A 23080-nucleotide genomic window follows, 5' to 3' on the forward strand; every position below is an offset into this window, starting at 1 on the left:
CATTTTTATTTCTCCTTGGTTTCCCTTTTTTTCTAAAAGTCCCGTAAGATTTAAATTGCAGATTCAAATGATGCTAAAAGTAAAAGCTGAGAATAATAGTACATTTCAAAATGGCATATTTCAACACGTTTCTGTTTCAAACAAAGTAGTTATTTTGTTAGTCATTTTTCTGAACACGTGAGCTCCAGGTCTTTTGGGATCTAGGAAACCCCGTTACTGAAACCACACTGTTCTAACGGTGTAAGAAGTCACAGAATCCTGAACGACAACTTTACAGTTCGATGGTAATTCCAAGACAATGGTACAGTCGTTTCGTCCTAGCTATGCAGATGTTCACGGAAAACAATACTTAGCTCCCTAGAGAGCGAATACTTTTCAAGAGCATTTTTTTTTCCTTGAGAAGAAACACAGCTCTCTGTGGAAAAGTCAGAAATCTCTTTGTCCTTTCTATCCCAGAGTATTATTTTTCTGGTCTTTCAGTGGTGCTCTTTACCTGATAATACCCAGAAAGTCAGTTTGATTATTATGTGATGCCAACAAAAGTGTTTGAAAATGACGAAGCAACTAATGATTTAGCATTTACAGGTTTAAAAAGACAGCACCTGCAGGAGAGACTGTAATACGACGTTGTTTAGTCAAGTTAGTGTTGAGCTTGCCATAACCATTTCAACTTTCAAAGTATTTACGAATCAACAGTGCTGGAATTATCCCTCCAGTTTCAAATATGACACGGAAGTAACTTAAATGAAAAATTCCTTTCTTATTCCGCCATGCGCCAGGGGATTTTTCTTCCCCTGAATGAAAGTGTCAGCATCTCATTTATTAACAATGCAGATACACATCAAAGCCACTATTGAATCTGTCTCTCCCCATTGACTTTGCCTTCCTATTTCTACACCCTATACTTCTTGTTCAACGAATTGTTCTTGATGTGACGTCTTCACAATAAGCCCATAAGCACAACTGAAACACAATTTCCTGCTAGCTTCAGTCAAGATACATTAATCCTCTCGATATTTCCCAGGACAATACTATCTCTCTTCTGCAGACTTTATTTCTCTCATTTGGCTGAGAAGGAGAAAAATCCTTGAAAATTGGTTTGAAAAGTGGTGTGCAAAAACAGTCAGAGCTAAAATTTCTTGGGCACACAATTTTCTTTAAATGCTCGCATGTTCATCATGCACCCTCACGTTAAACACTCGCGTGTGAGAAACTGAGAAGGAGAAGTTGCCGGACAGCTGAGCGTCCCTGTGCCGCTGCCACCCCAGGCTGCCGCCCACCGCTCAAGCTCAGAGCTAGAGCCCTGTCCACGCTGTCGTCCCTTCCTGTGGCTCCAAGTCTGTTCTGTCCAAGTCACTTCTCCATGAAAATGCTGGGTGGAACGTAAGGAATGGGAAGAAGCTTAAGCCATTCCTCTTATAGACCTGGGCAACCACATGGCGTTTATTCTCCAGAATATTCATTTGATGGGGACCTCTGGGAAATGCTATGGCAGCTACACTCATTGCCTTTCTGCATAGGTAGGTGTGCATGCATGTATGCAGGTGAGGAGGCACATGTGTAAGTGCGTGTGTCTGTGGGTGTGGAGGTGTGTATGTAGGCGTGCATATAGGTACATATACAGGGAGGGATGGATGTAGGTACAAATGCAGGTACCCATGTAGACATCCACCTATGTTGGCATGCAGGTGTGTATGTAGGCACCTATGTAGATATGTATGTAGGTACATATGTGGCTATGTAGGTGGATTTGTAGGTGCACTTGTAGGTAGGTGTGCAGGTATCTATGCAGGTAGGTATGGAAATGGGTACAGATGTAGGTATGCATGTAGGTATGTGTCTATGTCGGCATTCAGGTATGTATACAGGTACATATATAAGTATGTAGGTGGATTTGTAGGTGCGCTTGCAGGAAGGTACCTATGTAGGTATGTAGGTGGATTTCTATGTGCACTTATAGGTAGGTATGCATGTAGATACCTGTGTAGGTATGTAGGTGGATTAGTAGGTGCATTTGTAGGTAGCTATGCATGTAGATACCTATGTAGGTATGTAGGTGGATCTGTAGGTGTACTTGGAGGTAAGTGTGCAGGTAGGTATTTATGTAGGTATGTAGGTGGATTTGTAGGTGTACTTGGAGGTAGGTACCTATGTAGGTATGCAGGTAGATATGTAGGTGCACTTGTGAGCATGTGTGTACATATACAGATGTGTAGGTAGATTTGTAAGTGCACTAATAGATAGATCTCTACCTAAGAGGCATGGATATAGGTGCAGATGCAGGCAGACATGTAGACATGTACCTATGGCAGCATGTGGGGGGATATGTAGGCACCACGCAGCTCCGCACGCAGCCTGCATCAACAACTCTCACCCGCCAGTCTCTGGCCGCTGCCCACTTGCAGTGGGTGGGGGCAGAAGAGTCCACCAAGCGTCCCAGGTCTCGTCAGCATAGTTGATGACTCTCCTGGTCTGATCCACAAGGCTGAAACACTAACTTGTTCATTGCTGTCCTGTCACCTTGTCACAACACGTGCCCCGGTGGGATGGAATAATAACGCTCCGTCTATGGCGAAGGCTTAGGCTTTGCAGAATTGTTTGGGGTGAGAATGAGGCAGCCCTGATCCCCCATGTTCATTCCTCTGTCTCACCCACCTTGAGTGTTTGAAACCAGAAACGATTCTAATTCAGACTTGCAATGTGATTGTAATGGACAAAATATTGGCCTTGGCTTGGAGTGTTCAAGTTACGTCCAATGAGAAATAAAATATATGACTCTCCCTCTCTCTTCTAACTTCATCATTGGATTCCAGCAATTGAATGTTTGTGAAGGCTTGGCAGGGAATTAAAATCTATTTCAGCTGGCAGAAGCTCTGAGGTGCTGTATTTCTGGCCTATGTATGGTTGTATTGAAGGGAGAAGATGCACAGTTCCTAGAGGTGCCACATCGGCTACTCATTCATCTTTGAGTTTTGTGGTTGGGCCAATTATCTCAAGCTCTACTGTAAACCTCGTTAGAGGAAAAACACAATGAAAATGTGTGTGTGCATGTGTATGTGTGTGGACGCCTGTGTGTGTGTGTGTGTGTGTGTGTGTGTGTGTGTGTTGTTAAGCACATCTCAGAGATGCTTTCTAGATGGCATCTATTCCAGGTTTATCTGTTTGGGAGATGATAAATAGAATTCTTAATTATTGCATTATTCTCTCTAAATTCCAGATCATTAATATATTCTACAGAGGTAACTCTAGATGGATAATTAAGTAAATCATCTGGAGAGTCGAACAATATAGACACAAAGTCTGCACATTTCAGGTGGAGCTATTAAAAACACCAAGGTCTTTAGGGACTGGCTGTGTCTGGCCAGAGTTAATCAAGCTAGGTTTATAACAGATTTGCTTTGGCTGTATATTAAGCAGTTAGGGCTGCTTTCATACAAATATATTCTACTGTGTCTTCCTTGGACTGTGTTTTATTTTCTTATTTTTGACAGAAATATGGGTATACAGACCTCAAGAAAAAGCAGGGGTGCAAAAGAAACGACGGCCAGCCATCAGCATCAGCCTCAGAACTGAGGGTGACCAGGGTTGGTGGGGACTGACCAGAGACACCATGACTCATTGCTACCACATGGGAAGGTATCCAGGACTGCCAGATATTTCAGGAGGAGCCAGAAATCTCGATTTACTGGTGTAAGAGAGTCCCACATTTAAAATGCAAGAGGAGTGAACGTCACTGGAATTGAGATAGATGAAGTACATGTAACTGGTTTAGGGTTGGAAGAGGAAAGAAGAGAGAACACGCGAATCTCTGTTCTAAGTCTCCCACTCAGACCTCCCACACAGACCTCTGTGCTCTCAGTGCTCATTGTGTGTGAGAATTATCTGCAAGAACTCTAGAAAGTCGTGGAGCCCTGGGCCCCACCAGAGAGGCTCATCAGCTGCACGCGTGGGTGCCGTGGGAGCCCGGATGCTGGGGAGGCCGGATTTCAGCCCTGCTCCCCTTGGCCAAGGCCTTGGATAGCAAACCTGGAAAGTCAAACCAAATCCATCTACGACTGGGTGAGACTCAGGTGAAGGGTTGTCAAGTTATCTGGTGATTCTGATGCAGCATTAGGGTTGGGAACCCCAGTAACATTTAAATTACTTGAGCTCTTCAGTTGCAAGTTATTGAAAACAAGTGAAAACAAAAAGACTAAATAAACATTCTCCACACACACACTCACACTTCTCGTAAACAGAATTTGGCAAGATAAGCTCTTGCTGGTCTGGGAGCTGGACTTCTTTATAGCTCTTGAGGGGAAGGAGAGGAGGTGCCTGCTGCTGAGTGGAGACCCTGTGGGCTCACCCATGCCCTGCCCTGACCTGCTCCCGGCCCTGGGTTGTGGGCGAAGCTATAGCCTCACACTTCATTTTGGGCCAAGGGTTAGGTGGGGTAAATAAAGGTCATGGAACATGACTTGGGATATCTGACTTATTCCTAAAGTGTAGTTGGAATAAAGCAGGAAGAAAAGAATATAGACATTTGGGAACGGACATGGTTTAGGGAAAAAGTTTAGGTATTACAAAATGTGCAAAAAGATGTTTGTTTTGCAATTTATGTTTTCAGGCTGGTGTGAACTAAATACAGATTGACAGCTCTGAAGAACCAAGAGTGGTCAGAAAAACAAAAGTGTGGTGGTAGCTCTTCACCTACTGGGAGTTAAAAACACGTGCCGCGGGTGTGAGGAGAGCTTGGCATGATTCCACAGAGGAGGAAGAAAAAAGGAAACAAACAAACAAACAAACAGATGAAAGGGAATTTGTTGAATTTACAATGAATTAGAGTCTTTCCATTGTACTAATTTAAAAGTTAATATATCAGCTTCAAATTTTTCATAAATTGTGGTAATTTCCAAGAAGGTCATCTACATGTTTCTTGGTTTGCTTTGAGAAAGCACTCAATATAAAGAATCCATTCCATTACTTTTTATGTATTAAAATCTCTCTTAAGCATCTGACTATTTCATAATTTATAAGCTAGTGTAGACTTTTGAGGCAAGCATTTTCTTTGAAAAGATACAGACATTATCTCAGATTTGGCAAAGAAAAAAAAAAAGGATGTACAAACATCCTACAGTTGGCACTGCCTTTTAAAGCACATCCAAAAATGACCCACAGCAAAGTGACAATGGTAATATTTGCTCACATCACATGAGCAGGTCTGAGTAGCCAATGACCTGTGTCTGGGTTGCTGGTGTGATGTATTACAGTTTCTACAATTTGCTGCAGGCAGAAATCTTAATTAAGGCCTTTCCTAAAGAGTGACCTTCAGGGAGGGCATTACTGAATTGGTGTGAAAATAGACAAGTGGCCAAATTGCCCTGGTGGGACGGTGGAGAACTTGGATATCTCTCTCCCACCAAAGAATGGGCTGTGCTGGATATAGGCCAGGCTGCAGGATCAATGATCAATGATCAATGAGCCCTGCACCCCATGAAATAGCCTAACACTGGGGAGACGTGAAAGGGAGGACTTTTCTTTTTGGCGAATGCACGTCCGCTCCTCACACTGGAATATTCTGCATCTCCCTGCATGCATGTCTTCTCTGTGAATTCTGGGCCTGCGCGAGTCTGAGAAGAGCAATGCTCCCTAACAGCATACGTGTATCTGTGTTTCCTCGGGGGAAAACGCTCGCATATCTGCGGTCCTTGACGATATCGTCTGACAGGTTTTAGAAGGAGATGGTTTCTTCTTGGTCAGCAAACCAGGATGAGATGGGAACACATTCCGATCTGATCAGGGAGACCTTATACAGTGTTTGCCCTCCTTTTTGAGAGAAATTGGAAGGCATCCTCCACTAAGGTGAAGATGGATTGTGCAGCTTCAGGGGGCACAGGCTCCTGGCCGGGTGCCAGCAAGCGCGACTGCGCACCTCGGATCAGTGAGGCTTGCTTCTGCCAGATTTCTCGCGGCTGTGTGAAGTATTGCAGCCAAATGTCTCTCAATTTGCTCATTTCTTGGCCAAAGTTACTCCCTGATACTTAAACTCTAAGACATTGATCAACTTCTCATGCACTTGTGGAGGCCCACGGATGCATCTGACCTTCCCTTTCAGCAAGGCGTGACCGTGCCTCTCTGGGAGCTTCTGCACCGGATGCACCTGACCTTCCCTTTCAGCAAGGCGTGACAGTGCCTCTCTGGGAGCTTCTGCACCGGATGCACCTGACCTTCCCTTTCAGCAAGGCGTGACCGTGCCTTTCTGGGAGCTTCTGCAATCAGGGCAGTGGATCTACCCAAGTCGTCTGGTCACAGTTCTCAGTATCCTCTGATCTAACATTTTCCTGTGAGTCCAGAGGAACAAATACCTTCACAGCCGCCACTTAATGTGTTGCCCATTAGTAGCGGATCCGCAAGTCTCGAGCTTTCTGTTTGCATTAGCGGAAGAAAAACAACAAAGTCAATCTCAGAGTTTTTTAAACCACTGGGAAAACTATAAAGATGGCAAATGCTTTTGAGTAACAATTATTAGGCAGAAGACACCACGGTTATTTCAACCTGCCTGGTCTTTAGGTAAGACGAACTCTGAACTTCTCAAACCAGCACTTTCTGAAGCCTAGAAGAAGAATATGTAAGGAAGAAGAGACTCCAACACAATTGTATACAAGAAATGCTGGATGAGGGATCCTAATAATTAGCATATTAGGATCAAACACTCTTGGGTGTCTCTCTTGGGTGAAATATCTGGTGAGCCTGAATGAGAGGGGGTCAAAATACTGTGGGATATTTAAATTAAAATGTCTCCATACACCACATACTTTCATATCATGAGGGTCTGTCTAGGCAAGCTGCTGCTACAGGTGCACGGACAACAAAGACCTCAGCCTTGCAGCTGACTGACAATTTTGTGATAAACAGAAGCACACGTTAGCTGTCAGGTAAGTGAGCCTGTGCAAGATGCTGTCATCAGAGAATACATGAAAAACCAGGAGGCCCAGGAGAAGAAGCAACACTAACAACGGCCTAGGAGAAGAAGCAAGCCTAACGCCAGCCCCTTTAGTGGAAGGCTTCACCCAGGACTTGCCTTGGGAACTTGCCCTGGAGGAAGAGTAGGATTCCACCACTCAGAAAGGCAATAATGGGATGATAATAGCAGGCAATAGTATACTATAGATTATATGGAAATAATAATTAAGAATAGTAGGTTAAATGTTAAGATAACCTTATATCTGAAAGCACTTAACTGTTTACAAGGTAAGTTCCAATATATTAATTCAAATGACCACTGAAAAAATCCTCTGAGGTTTCTTTTACTACTGCTTTTAATTTTTATTTTAATTTAATTTTGTTTTTCTGAGACAGAGTCTCGCTCTGTGGCCCAGGCTGGAGTGCAGTGAGACAATCAGGGCTTACTGCAACCTCTGCCTCCTGGGTTCAAATGATTCTCCTGCCTCAGCTTCCCCAGTAGCTGGGATTACAGGTGTGTGCCATCCTGCCCAGCTAATTTTTGTATTTTTAGTAGAGATGGGGTTTCTCCATGTTGTCCAGGCTGGTCTTGAACTCCTGACCTCAAGTGATCTGCTCTCTTTGGCTTCCCAAAGTGCTGGAATCACCCGCCTGAGCCAAGACAGCCAGCCTGCTATTGTTTTTTTAAATAAGCCGTTAAATGGCTCACCCAAGACAATATACACATGAAAGTAAGAATCCAGAGCTGAACTTGGTTCTCTGTTTCCAAGGACCATACCCCAGTTGTCTCATGAACTACATACGTCAGCAGATAGGATGCCATGTCTAAGCCTTACAGGATTACCATGCTGAAGGAAGAGGACCTTGAAGTCCACATCATGGCAGGTGCTTCATATCTCTTAGGAACAATGAAAAAGTAACTGGCCAGAGGAAATGCCTTCTGCAGTCCTCACAATTTTATAATTTCTTTTTGTTTATGTATTTATTTAATTGTTATTATTTTTTAAGAGACAGACTCTTGCTCTGTGGCCCAGGTTGAAGGGCAGTGGCATGATCATGGCTCACACAAGCCTCAACCAGGCTTAAGCAATCCTCCCACCTCAGCCTCCCAAGTAGTTGGGATTACAGGTGTAAGCCACCACACCCGGCTAATTGTTTTTATTTTTTGTAGAGACAGGGTTGTGCCACGTTGCCCAGGCTGGTCTGGAACTCCTGGGCTCAAGCAATCCTCCCATCTTGGCCTCCTAAAGTGCTAGGATTACAGGCATGAGCCACCGTGCCTGGCTTATTATTTCTTTTTAGGAACCATTTTGAAACCTTTTATTTAACTGGAGTTTTACAATCTTACTGACACCTAGCATTTGTGTGCCTACAGAATGTTAAGAAATCCTGATAACTCAAAAAAGCCCATTCTTTGTTTCACCATTTTGTCAGCTCTAGAGTCATCCTGCCTGACAATTAGCAGGGCCAATTCATAAGGAGTCCCAAAACCAACACACACTGTTTTTGTGGAAATTAAAAATGGAATAAACAAAGTCAGATGTAATGAGACCCACAGTCTGGAGAAAATCCTACCCCTAGACTTGACAATGAGCCTGCCATAACCTACCTTTCTTTATGTTTTTGTGTATACATGCTACCCCTCAACAAGGCAAGGAGCTTGTCTGTAGCAAGATTTCAGAAAAAAAGAAAAAGAAATCAGAGTGGAAAGACCTTTCTGTCTCCGCTGTTCATGGCTGAGTGATTCGCCTCTTTGAGTTGTAGTTTCTCCTGTTAAAAAGTAGATAAATTTCCCTTGCTTGTCTAACTGGATTGTTGTAAAAATCAAAGGAGATAAGACAGCAGAAAGCTACTTCTAATTTGTAAATTGCTACAAAATGAGAGTTATTGTTATGTATCTCTCTTGGCCTTTAATAGTTGTTGATAAGATCATTTTTGTGATATAAGCATCACTCATTTGTTCTATAACTCTTCATTGAGTTTCTGCTTTTTGATTTAGGGAACTGAGTAGCTGGCAAGACAGGGAAGCATATAGTTTAGTGGCAGAAGGCAGAGTGAACCATCAATAAGTGAACAATAAGCGCCACACAGAGAAGTAAAACTAAGTAATGGGATGAGAATGAGAATGGCTGGGGGAGGGGCTTCAGAGATAGGGATTGTTATGTGTTCAACGGTGTCCCACCCAGAAAATACATGTTGGTGTCCTAACCCATGGGACCTCAGGATGTGACTGTGTTTGGATATTGGGTCCTAGCTCGTTAAGAGGAGACCCCACTGCGGTAGAGTGGGTCCATGGTCCAGTATGTTGGTGTCCTTATCAAAGAGAGTCGTGAGGGAACACAGGAGAGTACCACGTGACGCTAAGGCAGAGATTGAAGGAGCAGGAAGGATCATCCCCTGCGGCCTTCAGAGGGAGTGCAGTCCTGCTGACACCTTGATTCTGGACTTCTGGCTTCCAGAACTATGAGAGGATGGATTTCAGTTGCTTTAAGAGCCCAGGTTTGCAGGACTTTGTGTTGGCAGCCCTAGAAGGCTAATAGGTGGTCCAAGAACACCTGTCTACAGGTGCAGCATTTCACCTGGGACTCGACTAAGGAGGGAGGCAGGGATGCAAGTCAGGGAGTGTCCCGGGTGCTGGGGGACCCCGGCCTTCTGAGTCTCACAATCAGAAGGTGGGCAAGACAGCTGGAGGGGAGCAGGTAGGGAAGGAGGTGGGAGACGAGGCCAGGAGGGAGAGCAGGGCTTTGTAGGGGGAGGTGATGTGCTTGGACTTCATGCCAAGTACCATGAGAGGCCTGGGAGAGCTTTAAACACAGGTCGCTGCTGACACGGAGCTCAGGCCTTGATGCCAGCATCTAATCCCCACGCACTTGCCGAGCAAGGCCACACGAAATGCTCCCAAGAAGGACTGTGACTTTAAAACCCTAAAAGGGACAGGTCACAGCACATTTTTAAAGTTTGTGACATGACATTTTCTGTTGCTATTCAATAGTTGTAAAAATGCTTCATCAGAACTTTTAAAGCATGCAACAGCCACCACCTAATGTACACTTCGATTAAGTCAGTGAAATTGGCTCCAGACTCAGAAATCAAATCAGGATTCCAATTTTTGGCAACATAGTATCTATCATAGTATTTTATTTTTGCTATTGGATAATGGAAGTATTTATGCTATTTATAAAGTATTAGGTGGTGCAGGTTACAGAAAAATTTAAATTCCTAATTTTTAAGTGCTAATTTGCAGTCAGTAGCTTTGTTCCATCTTTTTGTTTATTTCTTTGGGTATATTTTTGTATTAAGTAGATATAGTTTAGTTTCAGACCATGATAGATTCAGGTCACAATAATGAATACATAAAGATTCAGAGGATAAAATAGTGGCAAATTGGTCTGTTTCTCTGTGTGCTACAAAGAATGAACTAAGGAATCAGAAAGTGCAAGTTCACACTTGATTCATGGTCCTCTTGCTGATCTCTCCGAACCTATTTCCTCAATTAATTAATTCTTTCCTTAATTTACCAAGTGTTTGTCCATTGTTCAGTGCTGAGAGGACCATACTATAAGACTGGTGTGATCCTGTCTTTAATGTGCAAAGTAGAGATGGAATCCAAGCATTATTATTCTAGGCACAGCATAATATGGCATTCTTTTTTTTTTTTTTTTTTTTTTTTTTTTTTTTTTTTTTTTTTTTTTTGAGATAGGGTCTCGCTCTTTCACCCAGGCTGGAGTGCAATGGCACGATCTCAGCTCACTGCAACCTCCGCCTCCTGGGTTGAAGCGGTTCTCCCGCCTCAGCCTCCTGAGCTGGGATTACAGGCGTGCGCCACTACGCCTGGCTATTTTTTGTATTTTTAGTAGAGATGGGGTTTCTCCATGTTGTCCAGGCTGGTCTTCAACTCCTGACCTTGTGATCCACCTGCCTCGGCCTCCCAAAGTGCTGGGATTACATGTGAGCCACCGCACCTGGCCCATAATAGGGCATTCTTATGCCAAGTATAGTACCTGGTTTACAAGAGACCAGAATGATCCATTTGCATGGTTTCTTACTCAGGACGCTAATTTTAGGTATTCAATAGAAAATTTAGCAAAATCACACACAGGAATAAATGTTAAGTATATTTTCCTCCATTTTTTCTCCTATAAATAGACTTTAAAATTATGAAGGAATGAGCCCATAGACAATATCCATGTCTCCTGAGAGGCAGCTTTGGGTCTGAGGTCAATCAACTACTTTTGATTGAATAGTGTCCTGTCTGGATTTCTGTTCTTTATTTACTTTGAAATATGTAAATATTTGCATAGATGGTAAATGGAAATGGTGTACTTGTTGGTGAACCTGTTTGATTACTAAAGCCATAATAATAACACCACCAGCTATGAATGCTAAGCAAAAATGACCCTTTGTTCTACTTTTTCAAATCTGTGGACTACAACAGCACTCTTGGGGACAATAACCCACACAATAGATTAAAAGCCTGTTAAATGTTATTTTCAGCTTGGCAGAACATCAACTGCTGAGTACCCTTTAGCTCCACTTTTTTTTTGAAGTATGGCAAACTTACTATATCCAGGTGACAACAGTAACATGTCATTTTAGAGTGATTAAATAATTGTACAAATAAATGGAATTAGGCTTACTCTCTGACTCCGAAATACAAAATTCAGGTGGAGCCAAGGGGTGAGTTGTGGGGGTCTTTGACCTCCCAAACGTTTACCATGTGCTCCAAACCTCCCTCCACAAATGTATAATCTAGTAGAAGTACACCTGGTGGATTATTGCAGCTTCAGGATGAACCATCACCCATTCTCCAAACTACAGTCTCTCCTACTTTGAAAATCTGGAGCTATCTCTTGCTAAAAACATAAAAGATTTAAAGATTTTTCTAGGTTTTCTCTTTTTTTCTACTTTAAATTCTCAACCAAAACAGAGGCATAATTTATATATATGTTTTAGTAGGAAGTCTTGGATTATCTCCTAATTTTAAATAGTTTGATTCTGGTTAAAATAATTTTTAGACCACAGTTTACATGATTTAGCTGATTGGAAAATTGCTTTTTATCATAATTAGTAGAAATTGGTGAACTGAACTCCTTTAAGTCTGCTACAAAACCAACCTTGCAAGAATATTTCTTCCATTAAAGCACATGGCTTTAAGAGAATTGCCAATAAAAAGCAACCAGTTAGAAGATTCATGCTGGAGGAAACATTCAAGTTGTATATCAAATACATGCAAGGTATATCAAGTAGTTCACGTTCACATTTATTTACAAAACTCCTCGGAGGGTTTCTGCTGTGCTAAGGACAAAAGGAGATCTCATAAGTTCTGAATTTAATAAAAAATATCATAGAGGTTATTTTGCCAAATGAAAATAAATCCAATACAACACTACTATGCAATGGGTTTAAACATTTATACCCAGGTTGATGAATAGAATTCCAGCCCAATGCTACATTTTGGCAGAACATAGTCTTAGAAAAGATTTGGAGCTGCCTCCAGTCTTTAAGGTGGTAAGCTTTAGAGGAGCCTTAGAAATATTCCATTCCATTAGTTAGAATATGATGAAAAGTACAAACTTTTCTAGTCATCATGGTTGTCATTATTAACATGATTGTCACCATACTTATTAATATAATCATCACCATCATCATAGTCATCATCACCATCATCATCATCATTATCATTGTTATCATCATCATCATTGGTATAAACATCATCACCATCATCATCACTGTCATCATCACCACCATTATCATTGTCATCAACATTACCATCATCTTCATCACCATCATTATTATCATAATCACCTTCATTAGTATCAACATTATCACCACCATCATCATCATTGTCATCACCATCACCATCATTATTGTGATCATCACCATCATTGCCATGATTATCATTTCTATTGTCATCATCATAGTCATCATCATCACCATCATTAGTATCAACCTCATCACTGACATCATTATCTTCATCATCACCATCACTATTATCATCGTCATCACCATCATCATCGTCATCACCATCATCATCATTATCGTTATCTTAGTCATCATAATCACCATCATTATTAACATAATCATCACCATCATCATCATAGTCATCATCACCATAATAAGTATCAACATCATCACTATCATCATCATTGTCATTATCACCATCATCATTGTCATCAGCACCATCATCATCAACTTTATCATCATCATAGTCACCATCATCAGTATCAACATCATCATTAGTATCAACATCGTCACCTCCATTATCATCATTGTCATCAGCACCACCATCATCGTCATCATCACCATCATTATTACCAACATTATCATCCTATCTTCATCATCATTTAGTATCAACATTATCATTAGTATCAACATTATCACCACCATCATCATCATTGTCATCACCATCACCATATCATTGTCATGATCACCAACATCACCATGATCTTCATTGCTATCATCATCATCATAGTCATCATCATAACCATCATTAGTGTCAACATTGATGATACTAATCAATCTACCATTATCATCATTTCATCATCATCATCATCATCGTATGGTTATCATAATAATCATATTCATCATAATCACCATCATTATCAACTTAATTATCATCACCATTGTCATCATCACCATAATTAGCATCAACATAATCACTGTTATCATCATTGTCATTATCACCAGCATCATCATCACCGTCATCATCATCATCACCAACATTGTCATCATTATCATTATGTAACTTAACTTTCCTCATACGGAGAGCAACGCACACTGGGCTATGAACAATAGGGAAATTACTGTGTACTTTGGCTTCTTAGGCTGAGACATTAAGTAGAAACAACCACATATTAAGAGGTCTTAGATACATATTTATAGCACCATGACCCAGTGGTAAGGACCTGGAATGCAGACTCAGAGGACCTTAGTCCAGCCCTGCCTCTAGCTGGACCTGTGACAGTGACAGTGACCCTGTCACTGGCTTTTGAATCTCAGGTATGCCCCTTAAGTTCTATAAGCCTAAGTCGTCACATCAATGAAATGGGATAATAATAATAACACTTGACTAAGAAGTTATTGTGAATGTCACACAATATCCTTACTAACATCTTCATTTTGCAAGGAGAAAACCAAGCTTATGAAGATTAAGTAATGTATACAAGGAAGCACAGGTGTTAACTGATGGAGTCTGAGTATGAACTAGGGTCTTTTTGATTAGACAATTCGTGCCCCAAACCACTTGTATATACTGCCTTCATCATATGAAATATTGCACATTTAATAGTGTTCCTCTCCATTTTTAGAGACTCACCAAAAATTTCTAAATAAGTTTGTGGAAATATGCAGAAAACACATGTTCATTTGAGACAAATTTTAGAGAAAGAGCTTTTTGAAATAAAGGCTAATTTAGAAACCATTTTCTAATTCATCAGTTCCTCTCAGTTGTATTAAACACTTATTGTTCTCCTTTCTCTTATAAATAATTGATTCAAAACTATTTATAAATTACATATATATGTACACACACACAGGCACAAGCATCAGTTATGCTTTTTATACACTAATCCTAAATCTCTTCAATCTGAAATTATATTTCATAAAGAACTTGTTCTGAGGAAATAAAATTATATATAAATGTCACTTCTATTTTCCAATCATTTATAAGTTAATTGAGGGGATCTCACATACATTCCTGAGATATCTGCAGAAGTAACCACTTTAAGTATAAATTCCATAGAATTTGAAGGGGGTGGAGTTTAATGTTGGTTGATGAGGTGGAGATGACTTCCTGGAGGGCATGGAAGTTGAGGCATGGAAGAGAATGTGTCTGGGTGGGATGGGAGAGAATAACTCAGTTTTAGAGGTAGAGAAAATGAACATTTCTGGGTGGCAAAGATAAAAAAATCTCATTAAATCAAATATTTGTGTGTATATGGAAAAGCAGAAACTCTCATTCAGTGCTTGTGGTGGTATAAGTCAGTAGATGCCTTGGAAAACTGTTTGGGCTGGGCATGGTGGCTCACGCTTGTAATCCCGGCACTTTGGGAGGCTGAGGCAGGTGGATCACCTGGGGTCAGGAGTTCGAAGACCAACCTGGCCAACATGGTGAAACCCATTTTTACTAAAAATATAAAAAATTGGCCAGGCATGGTGGCAGATGCCTGTAATCCCAGCTACTTTGGGAGGCTGAGGCTGGAGAATCACTTGAACCCAGGAGGCAGAGGTTGCAGTAAGCCAAGATTACACCATTGCACTCCAGCCTAGGCAACAAGAGTGAAACTCTGTCTCAAATAAATAAATAAATAAATAAATAAATAAATAAGTAATTTTTTTAAAAACAAAGGAAAAGAAAAGAAAACTATTTGGAGTGATCTCATATGTGTGAAAATACACATGGCCTATGACCAGGTAATCTCACTGATACATTTATAAACAAGAGAAATTCCTAGGATACAAAAAAAAATTACTGTTTATAAAAACCAAAAGTGGAAATCATCCATCTATGTTAGAATGAATAATTTTATGTGTTCAAAATTTTAATGTGTTCAAAATATAATAAACATGACACATGCAGTAACATGGATGAATTTCACCAATACAATGGTGAATGAAAGACGTAAAACACAAGTTACAGACATATACTTTTGTATAAATTTCAGAAATGACCAAAATCAAAAAATGTTGTTTAGAAATACATCACTGACTCATCACTTACTCATCATTCATTCATTATTCACTCATCACTCACTCATTATTCACCTCTTACTCACTCATCATTTATCATTCAGTCATTACTCATTCATCACTCAACACTCACTCATCACTCAACACTCATTCATCATTCATCGCTCACTCATTACTCATTTATTACTCATCATTCAGTGTTCATTCATCGCTCACTAATCACTCACTCAATACTCATTACTCAACACTCATTCATTACTCATCATTCACTCATTACTCGTCATTCACTCATTACTCTTCATTAATCATTCAGTCATTACTCACTCATCACTCACTCATCCCTCAACACTTATTCATCACTCATCACTCACTCATTACTCATTTATTACTCATCATTCATCATTCACTCATCACTAATCACTTATCATTACTTAACACTCATTCATTACTCATCATTCGCTCATTACTCATGCATCATTCATCATTCCTCACTGCTCACTCACACTCACTTATCACTCAACATTCATTCATTACTCATCACGCATTCATTACTCACTGAATTAACCATTCAGTCATTACTCACTCATTACTCATCACTCACTTATTACTTACCCATGTATCAGTCATTACTCATTCATCACTCACTCAACACTCTATTACTTATTACTCACTAATCGCTCACTCATTACTCACTCATCATTCAGTTGTCAGCTACTCATCACTCACCTATCACTCACTCATTACTCACTCAAACTTATTCATCACTCGCTCATGTCTCACTCATCACTCATCACTCACTCATCATTCATCACCCACCACTCATTTTTACTCAACACTCACTCATCATTCACCACTCACCACTCATTCATCACCCACCACTCACTCATTACTCGTCACTCACCCATTAGCCATCATTCACTCATTACTCACTCATAATTCATTCATCACTCATATGCATCACTCACTGCTCACTCATCACTCACTTATTACTTGTTACTCACTCATTACTCACTCATCATCATTCCCTTGTTACTCACACATCACTCACTCATCACTTAACACTCATTCATTACTCATTGCTCACTCATCATTCATCATTTAGTCATTACTCACTTATCTCTCATCACTCATTCATTACTCATCACTCACTCAACACTCAGTCACCAATATAGGTACCTCTCTGACTACATGAAGAAGTGATTTTGATATCTTTTAACCCTTAATCAGCTATAAAATGGTAGCCCACAGGTTGCATATGAACTGCACAACGTATTTTATTAGGTATCACTTGCTTTGTGAATTTTTTGTATAGTTCTACACAGAAAAGCTAGATTCAAGAGTTCTTTTGAAGAGTTGGAGTTGTTTGTCAGGCCTGGGTCCCTGCTTCTGAGCAGTGCCTCCCACTGAACCCAGCACGGAAGTGCCCTGTTCCCATCATCCCACCCGTGTTCTTGTTTAGGCACTTACCGTCTCACCCCATGTGTAATGACCTGTCTGTTCTCTGTTGTTATTTCAGTTTTCTCCCTGAACTCTAAGGACATTTAACCTAAGTGTTACATGAATCAAAGTGCTGGTGTGTTTTTCTCTGTCTTTGGAAAGTTATAGAAGGTAGAATCGGCATGACTTTGAAGCAATTATTCCAGTAGAAATTCTGTTTTCATAGCTGCCAAAAAGGCCGCATGACAAAAACAGTGGCAATTCCCAAATGCATCTTGATACTTCTAGGTTGATTCTAAATGACAACTTATTTACTAACATAAAATAATAATTTAGTCAATTATATTTTTAGTTCTTCATAAACACCTACAGCACAAAAGGGTAAAAATAATTTTGGGGTGAATTGTAGCAAAGAAAATTTTGATTAGGGCGATAAAAGAGAGGTAAAATAGATACACAGCAAAAACATTTAATCTTGCCCAGCTGTTATAGGTGGGCTGCATATTTAGACAGGAGCTTCCTAGCTGCCAATGCAAGGAAATTATTCTGACCTTTGCAAGATTCACAACAATCATGGGATAAAAACAAAACACTTGTTCTGGAAAAGCACTGTTGTGCTGTCCCTGAAACCTAGAGTCATATTCTCTAGTGCACCTTTTAAAATTTTACTTTATTTTTATTTTTGAGAAAGAGTCTTGCTCTGTCTCCCAGCCTGGAGTGCAGAAGCCCAATCTGTGCTCACTGCAACCTCCATCTCCCAGGTTCAAGCGATTCTCCTGCCTTAGCCTCCCAAGTAGATGGGATTACAGACATGCACCACCACGCCCAGCTAATTTTTGTATTTTTAGTAGAGACGGGGTTTCATCATGTTGGTCAGGCTGGTCTTGAACTTCTGACCTCGTGATCTGCCTGCCTCAGCCTCCCAAAGTGCTGGGATTATAGGCGTGAGTCACCACGCCTGGCCTCTAGTGTACCTTTTTAAAGAAGTGATGGGTAGTGTGTTTGGGCAGCTTAAACATTCCTGCAGTAAAAGGGGGAGTTTAACTTGCTAGCTATGTAGGGAAACAGTTTTGAGTCTCCTGGAATTGTACACAGAATTTGGTGTGCATGTATACATGATTTTTCTAGAGTTAAATATCCAGAACTTTCTCCGATTTCTCAAAGGCAGCATTCTCCTCAATGTGCCACACAGCCCAGTTGTATCAGAAGCCCTCAGGGAGTTTGGTAAATTGCAGAGTACTGGGCCCTACATGAATCAGAGTCACTGGAGGTGGAACTCAAGAATCTGCATTAGAATGGCTCTTTCTCTCTCTTCCCCCACAACATGTACACAAACCAATTCATGTGTCTGTTTATTACCATTATCTTTAATTCAATTAAAAATGAAAAATAGCAAAAATCAATTTAGCAGAAAGCAATTCCACAGAGGGGCCCAATCAAAACAGCTCGAATATATTGCTCGCCAGTAGCCTGTTTTGATCCAAGGGTAAAATGTAAACTAGCCAGGGGAATTTATGGACTTCATGTCCTTCAGCCAATCCTCCATAAATATCATTTCTCCCCACTGGGCATTTCAGGAGGATTAGAAAACAGAATTCTTTTTTTATTCACTGACAAGAACCTGGAGGGCAGAAATTCAGTGTTTCAACTAAGGACAAAGCCATTTGATTCATTAATCAACTGGGCAGAGGACAGGATTAAGGTTTTATTCTCTTCTTTCGAAGAACTCTGCCTGGCTGAAGGGTCACCACTGCACCCGGTACCAAAGCAGGTCCATGGATGTTACCTGTGGGAATAGCCTGGTGAGATCTGCAATAAAAACTGCAATCGTGAGGAAACTTCCAGAACATTGAGGCTGATCACTGACCACCAGGTAAACTGGCAAGGAAGGATGCCACACAGTGTCCACCTGGGTGCCATCAAGAACGGACACAATAGCTGTTGCTTTCACAGCGAAAGGAGACTTCTCGTTCACCAGCCTCAGTGGGGGCCCGGCCCCTCCTGCACCTGCTGCCCCCAGCGGGGCTCTGTGATGCTGCATCTCCCACAACTGTCCAGCCAGTCATGCTGAAGACCCCTTACTTCCTGGAGCATTTCTAATTTTAAGTTTTGTGCACCCACACCAGGAAAGAAGGTTTAGTTCTATACTCTGGAGAGGTATATGACCGTGTGCTCACAGGCAGACCCACACATCCTTGGTCTCTCAAAAGCAATAAAAGGTGCTTTTGCAAACTATAGGCCTCCTTCAAAATCCTGAGATTCCCAGCAAGGTTTTGGGTCACCCCTCCCAGGCTTGAATCAGTGACACGGCAACCCATGGAAGAAGCAAATCTACTAAATTTACTTGTGTTTGAAGAGGAGTTAAGCTGCAATAAAGGAACTGTCACCCGCTTGCAGGGGCCTCAGTCCTGCCTCTGTCAGGGCCTCTGGCCTGTGGACGGAAGTCTGAGTGGGTGTCACTCGGGTGCATGAGCTGGGCCTCAGGGTGAAGTCCAGGTTGTGTAGTTTAAAACATCCATTTTCTAACCTGTGTTACTTTAATCTTTATTTGTTTTCTCACAACACTTAGATGGAAAAAGAAACGGGATCATGTTGTCTGGTTATTGCATTAAAAATCTTTAAGCATGCAAGAAAGAATTATTTTTCAATAAATTTTGGTAAGATGTCTGCATTTCAGAGAGATCTTGGTAATAGCATGAGCATATGGTGCCATTTATTTTCTGTCACCATCTTATTCATTTCCTTATTTTTTGCGGCAATCTAGCATATTATCTTAATTATGTTTTAAATAACTTTTGGAGAAAGCATTAAGGAATAGCAATGAGATTAACCCTAAACACACGTATCATATGCACATCCAAGGAAAAATCTAAAAGAATACAGCAGCTATCTCCACTATTTAGAGCTTTACTCAGTAAATTATTTTCCTCAAAATAACACATACATATTTAATTTTTAGGAAGAGAACCATGGATTATGCAATATCAGGCTTTCGTGAAGGGATTTTTTTGTTGTTGTTGTTCAGTCTGTAGCCCAGGCTGGAGTGCAGCTCATTTCAACGTCTGCCTCCCAGGCTCAAGCAATCCTCCTGGCTCAGCTTCCTGAGTAGCTAGGAAAACAGGCACACGCCACCATACCCAGCTATTTTTTTTTTTTTTTTAGAGATGGGGTTTTGCCATGTTGCCCAGGCTGGTCTCATACTTCTGGTCTCCAGAGACCTCCTTGTGCCCCCAAAGACCTTGATAAGTCACAGGGAAGCACAAAAGCAGTCAATTCCCTTTCAGCCCCCCTTTTAGCACCTGTGAGCCCTTCACATTCATTGTATCATTTCCTTTATACAGCACGATATAGATCTTGGTCAGCAAATATTTTCCATAAAGGGCCGTGATATGGTTCTGATCTGTGTCCCCATCCACATCTCATGTTAAAATGTAATCCTCAGTGTTAGAGGTGGGGCTTGGTGGGAGGTGACTGGATCATGTAGGCGGATTTCTCATGAATGGTTTAGCACCATCCTCTTGGTGCTGACCTCGTGATAGTAAGTGAGCTCTGGCTAGATGTGGTCTCTAACAGTGTAGCCCTGCCCACGCCCCGCCCCCTTGCTCCTACTCTGCCATGTGACATGCCTGCCCTGTCTTCACCTTCTGCCATGATTGGAAGCTTCCTGAGGCCTCCCCAGAAGTCAAGCAGATGCCAGCTTCACGCTTCTTGTACAGCCTGCAGAACCGTGAGCCATTTAAACCTCTTTTCTTTATACATGGCCCAATCTCAGGTATTTCTTGATAGCAATGCAAGAATGGCTTAATACAGGCCAGAGAGTAGGAGTTTTTGATCATTCAGCCTCTTTCCCAATCCTTCACTCTGCCAGTATTTCATGAAGCAGGCACAAATGACATGGAAGTGGCATGTTCAGTGAACTTGGATTCCGTTGCTTAAACTGGCTCCTTCACTTCCATGCTGAGGTCCTGGATCTGCAGCTCCAACCCCCTTTAAATCCCTCAACACGGAGCCCATCGCTTCCAGCAGCAGCTCTCACACTGTGAGCGGGCATGCTCTGTCCCAGGCAACACTTGCACACCTTTCTTCACAGCCCACAAGCCAGTCCTACTGTTTTCTCCCATGAAGCCAACACTTTCATTTTTCCAACACTCAGCCCACCCCTTACTTTTTCCCCTCTTTAATGGGAAATAATGCATCTGGCGCTGGACATTCTGAGTGTGTCTGAGTACACGTCTCATTGCAGACACGTGTGTACGCGGGCATTATGTAGCCAGCCCGGCCCTGTTAGGGAGTTCTGCTGCAGACCCCTGACTCGGCTGGCTGTGCACTGCGTGGAGCCCCACGTGCGTGGGCCTGGACGTTCACATGGAGCTCCTGCCGTGGTGGTGAAATATTGTGGACTGCTTGGCTGACTACACGGGTCAGTTGCTGCAAAAAGCCAGTCTGCAGGTGGGGCAGTCCAGGACCGTTTCCGTGACAAAAGGAGAAAAACAATGACCTTGAAGTAAAATTTGTATAAAGCTACATTTTTTTCAATATTTAAAAAATTCTTAAAAAGTATTCTTACTATTCATTTTTTGCTATTAATATACAAGGGGGTAGTTGTTGCCGGCTTCATGCTGTGCCTGGCACTCTTTTTTGAAATTACTCTGGACTGAAATCCCTGAATCTGGGACCCAGGTTCTAGGAATGCAAACACACACACATGCGTGTGCGTGCACACACACGTACATATACACAGAGACACACATGACACACACAGACACACATACACATGCAATGCACACACATGCACACATGATGCACAAACACACAGACACAGCCACACATGCACGACACACAGACACATGCATACAGACACACACGGATGCACACAGGACACACACACACATGCACACACAGACACACACAACATAGACATGCACACATACAGACACACTGATACACGCAAAACACACATGAACACAAACACACAGGCACCGACACACACACAGAGACACACATGCACACACAGAAACACACACACCAATGACAAATCAGCCTCACTGTGTGCCTCGCATTGCCCCATTTAACCCGCATCCTGCGTTGTTGGAAAGTGTGTATGTGATGATGACGCTGAGGAAGATGACAGCACAGAGGGAAGATGGCACCTGCAAGGGATCGGAGGGTTTTTGTTTTTTTTTTTTTTGCAACAAATAACTCAGATGCCAGTTTTCCTTTCCAGGGAAGTTTTATGGTTGAGTTAGCTGTCTTAGGGAGGCGAAATGATTTCTCTAAGGTGTCGTCTGACTCACATCCACACACATCTTCCCTCGGAAAACACTCGTTCTGCCTGAATTGAAACCAGTGTGTCTAGCCCTGAGCCAGTTAGCCTCACCATGCCCCAGCCAGGCGCGTCAGCCGCCTCCCCACACCTGTGGTTATGCCACTCCCATCCCCACCATGGCAGCCACCTCCCCATGCCCGTGGTTCTGCCACTTCCGTCCCCACCGTGGCAGCCGCCTCCCCATGCCCGTGGTTCTGCCACTCCCGTCCCCACCATGGCAGCCGCCTCCCCATGCCCGTGGTTCTGCCACTCCCGTCCCCACCGTCTGCACTCCAGACATCTTCTTGAATTAGGAGGACTCCAAGCCAGAAGCTCCATCGTGTTCTATTTCTGTGTGAGTGAGTGCATGACATCTCACAAAAAAGTAATAAATAATCTTTCAATGTATCCTTTTCCTTGACTTTTTCCATTCTTGGTATCAAAATCAGAGCACACTTTAATAATCATCTAATCGTTTCTGGTTGTTTCTCTTAAAATCTGATCATCTATGATCTGATTATTATTTTATCTGATAATCTATTATCAGATTTTAAGAGAAACAGTGCATGTGACTGTGTCTTTGGGAAGATGATGTGCATGTCACCTATTGGACTTTTTACTGTCTGTCATGACGGTCCTTTGGAATGGTTTTCAGGTAGAAATGAATAATATTATGGTATTGGTCAGGAAGAAATTTAACGACAACTG

At 41.8% G+C, this 23080-nt stretch overlaps 1 protein-coding gene across 1 annotated transcript in view, besides 3 other annotated features; it reads right to left on the bottom strand.

The window, feature by feature from the left end:
• The window catches only part of ADARB2 (adenosine deaminase RNA specific B2 (inactive)), a 560213-nt gene that overhangs the window by 305829 nt on the left and 231304 nt on the right, over positions 1-23080 (bottom strand). The window lies entirely within an intron of this gene.
• Positions 5938-5987: an enhancer, noted in NCBI's record as "active region_2902". NCBI's record gives its function as "activates an Ori minimal core promoter by ATAC-STARR-seq in GM12878 lymphoblastoid cells {active_cell/tissue: GM12878}" and the evidence as "EXISTENCE:reporter gene assay evidence [ECO:0000049][PMID:35858748]".
• Positions 6130-6296: a silencer, noted in NCBI's record as "fragment chr10:1531466-1531632 (GRCh37/hg19 assembly coordinates)". NCBI's record gives its function as "represses an EF-1alpha promoter that drives an FKBP-Casp9 reporter gene in an ReSE screen in K562 erythroleukemia cells {active_cell/tissue: K562}" and the evidence as "EXISTENCE:reporter gene assay evidence [ECO:0000049][PMID:32094911]".
• Positions 16262-17461: an enhancer, noted in NCBI's record as "P300/CBP strongly-dependent group 1 enhancer chr10:1541598-1542797 (GRCh37/hg19 assembly coordinates)". NCBI's record gives its function as "activates an origin of replication core promoter dependent on BRD2, BRD4, P300/CBP, MED14 and CDK7 cofactors, with strong dependence on P300/CBP, by STARR-seq in HCT116 cells {active_cell/tissue: HCT116}" and the evidence as "EXISTENCE:reporter gene assay evidence [ECO:0000049][PMID:35650434]".

The sequence above is a fragment of the Homo sapiens genome, chromosome 10, assembly GCF_000001405.40.
Source record: "Homo sapiens chromosome 10, GRCh38.p14 Primary Assembly".
NCBI classification, from domain to species: Eukaryota; Metazoa; Chordata; class Mammalia; order Primates; family Hominidae; genus Homo; species Homo sapiens.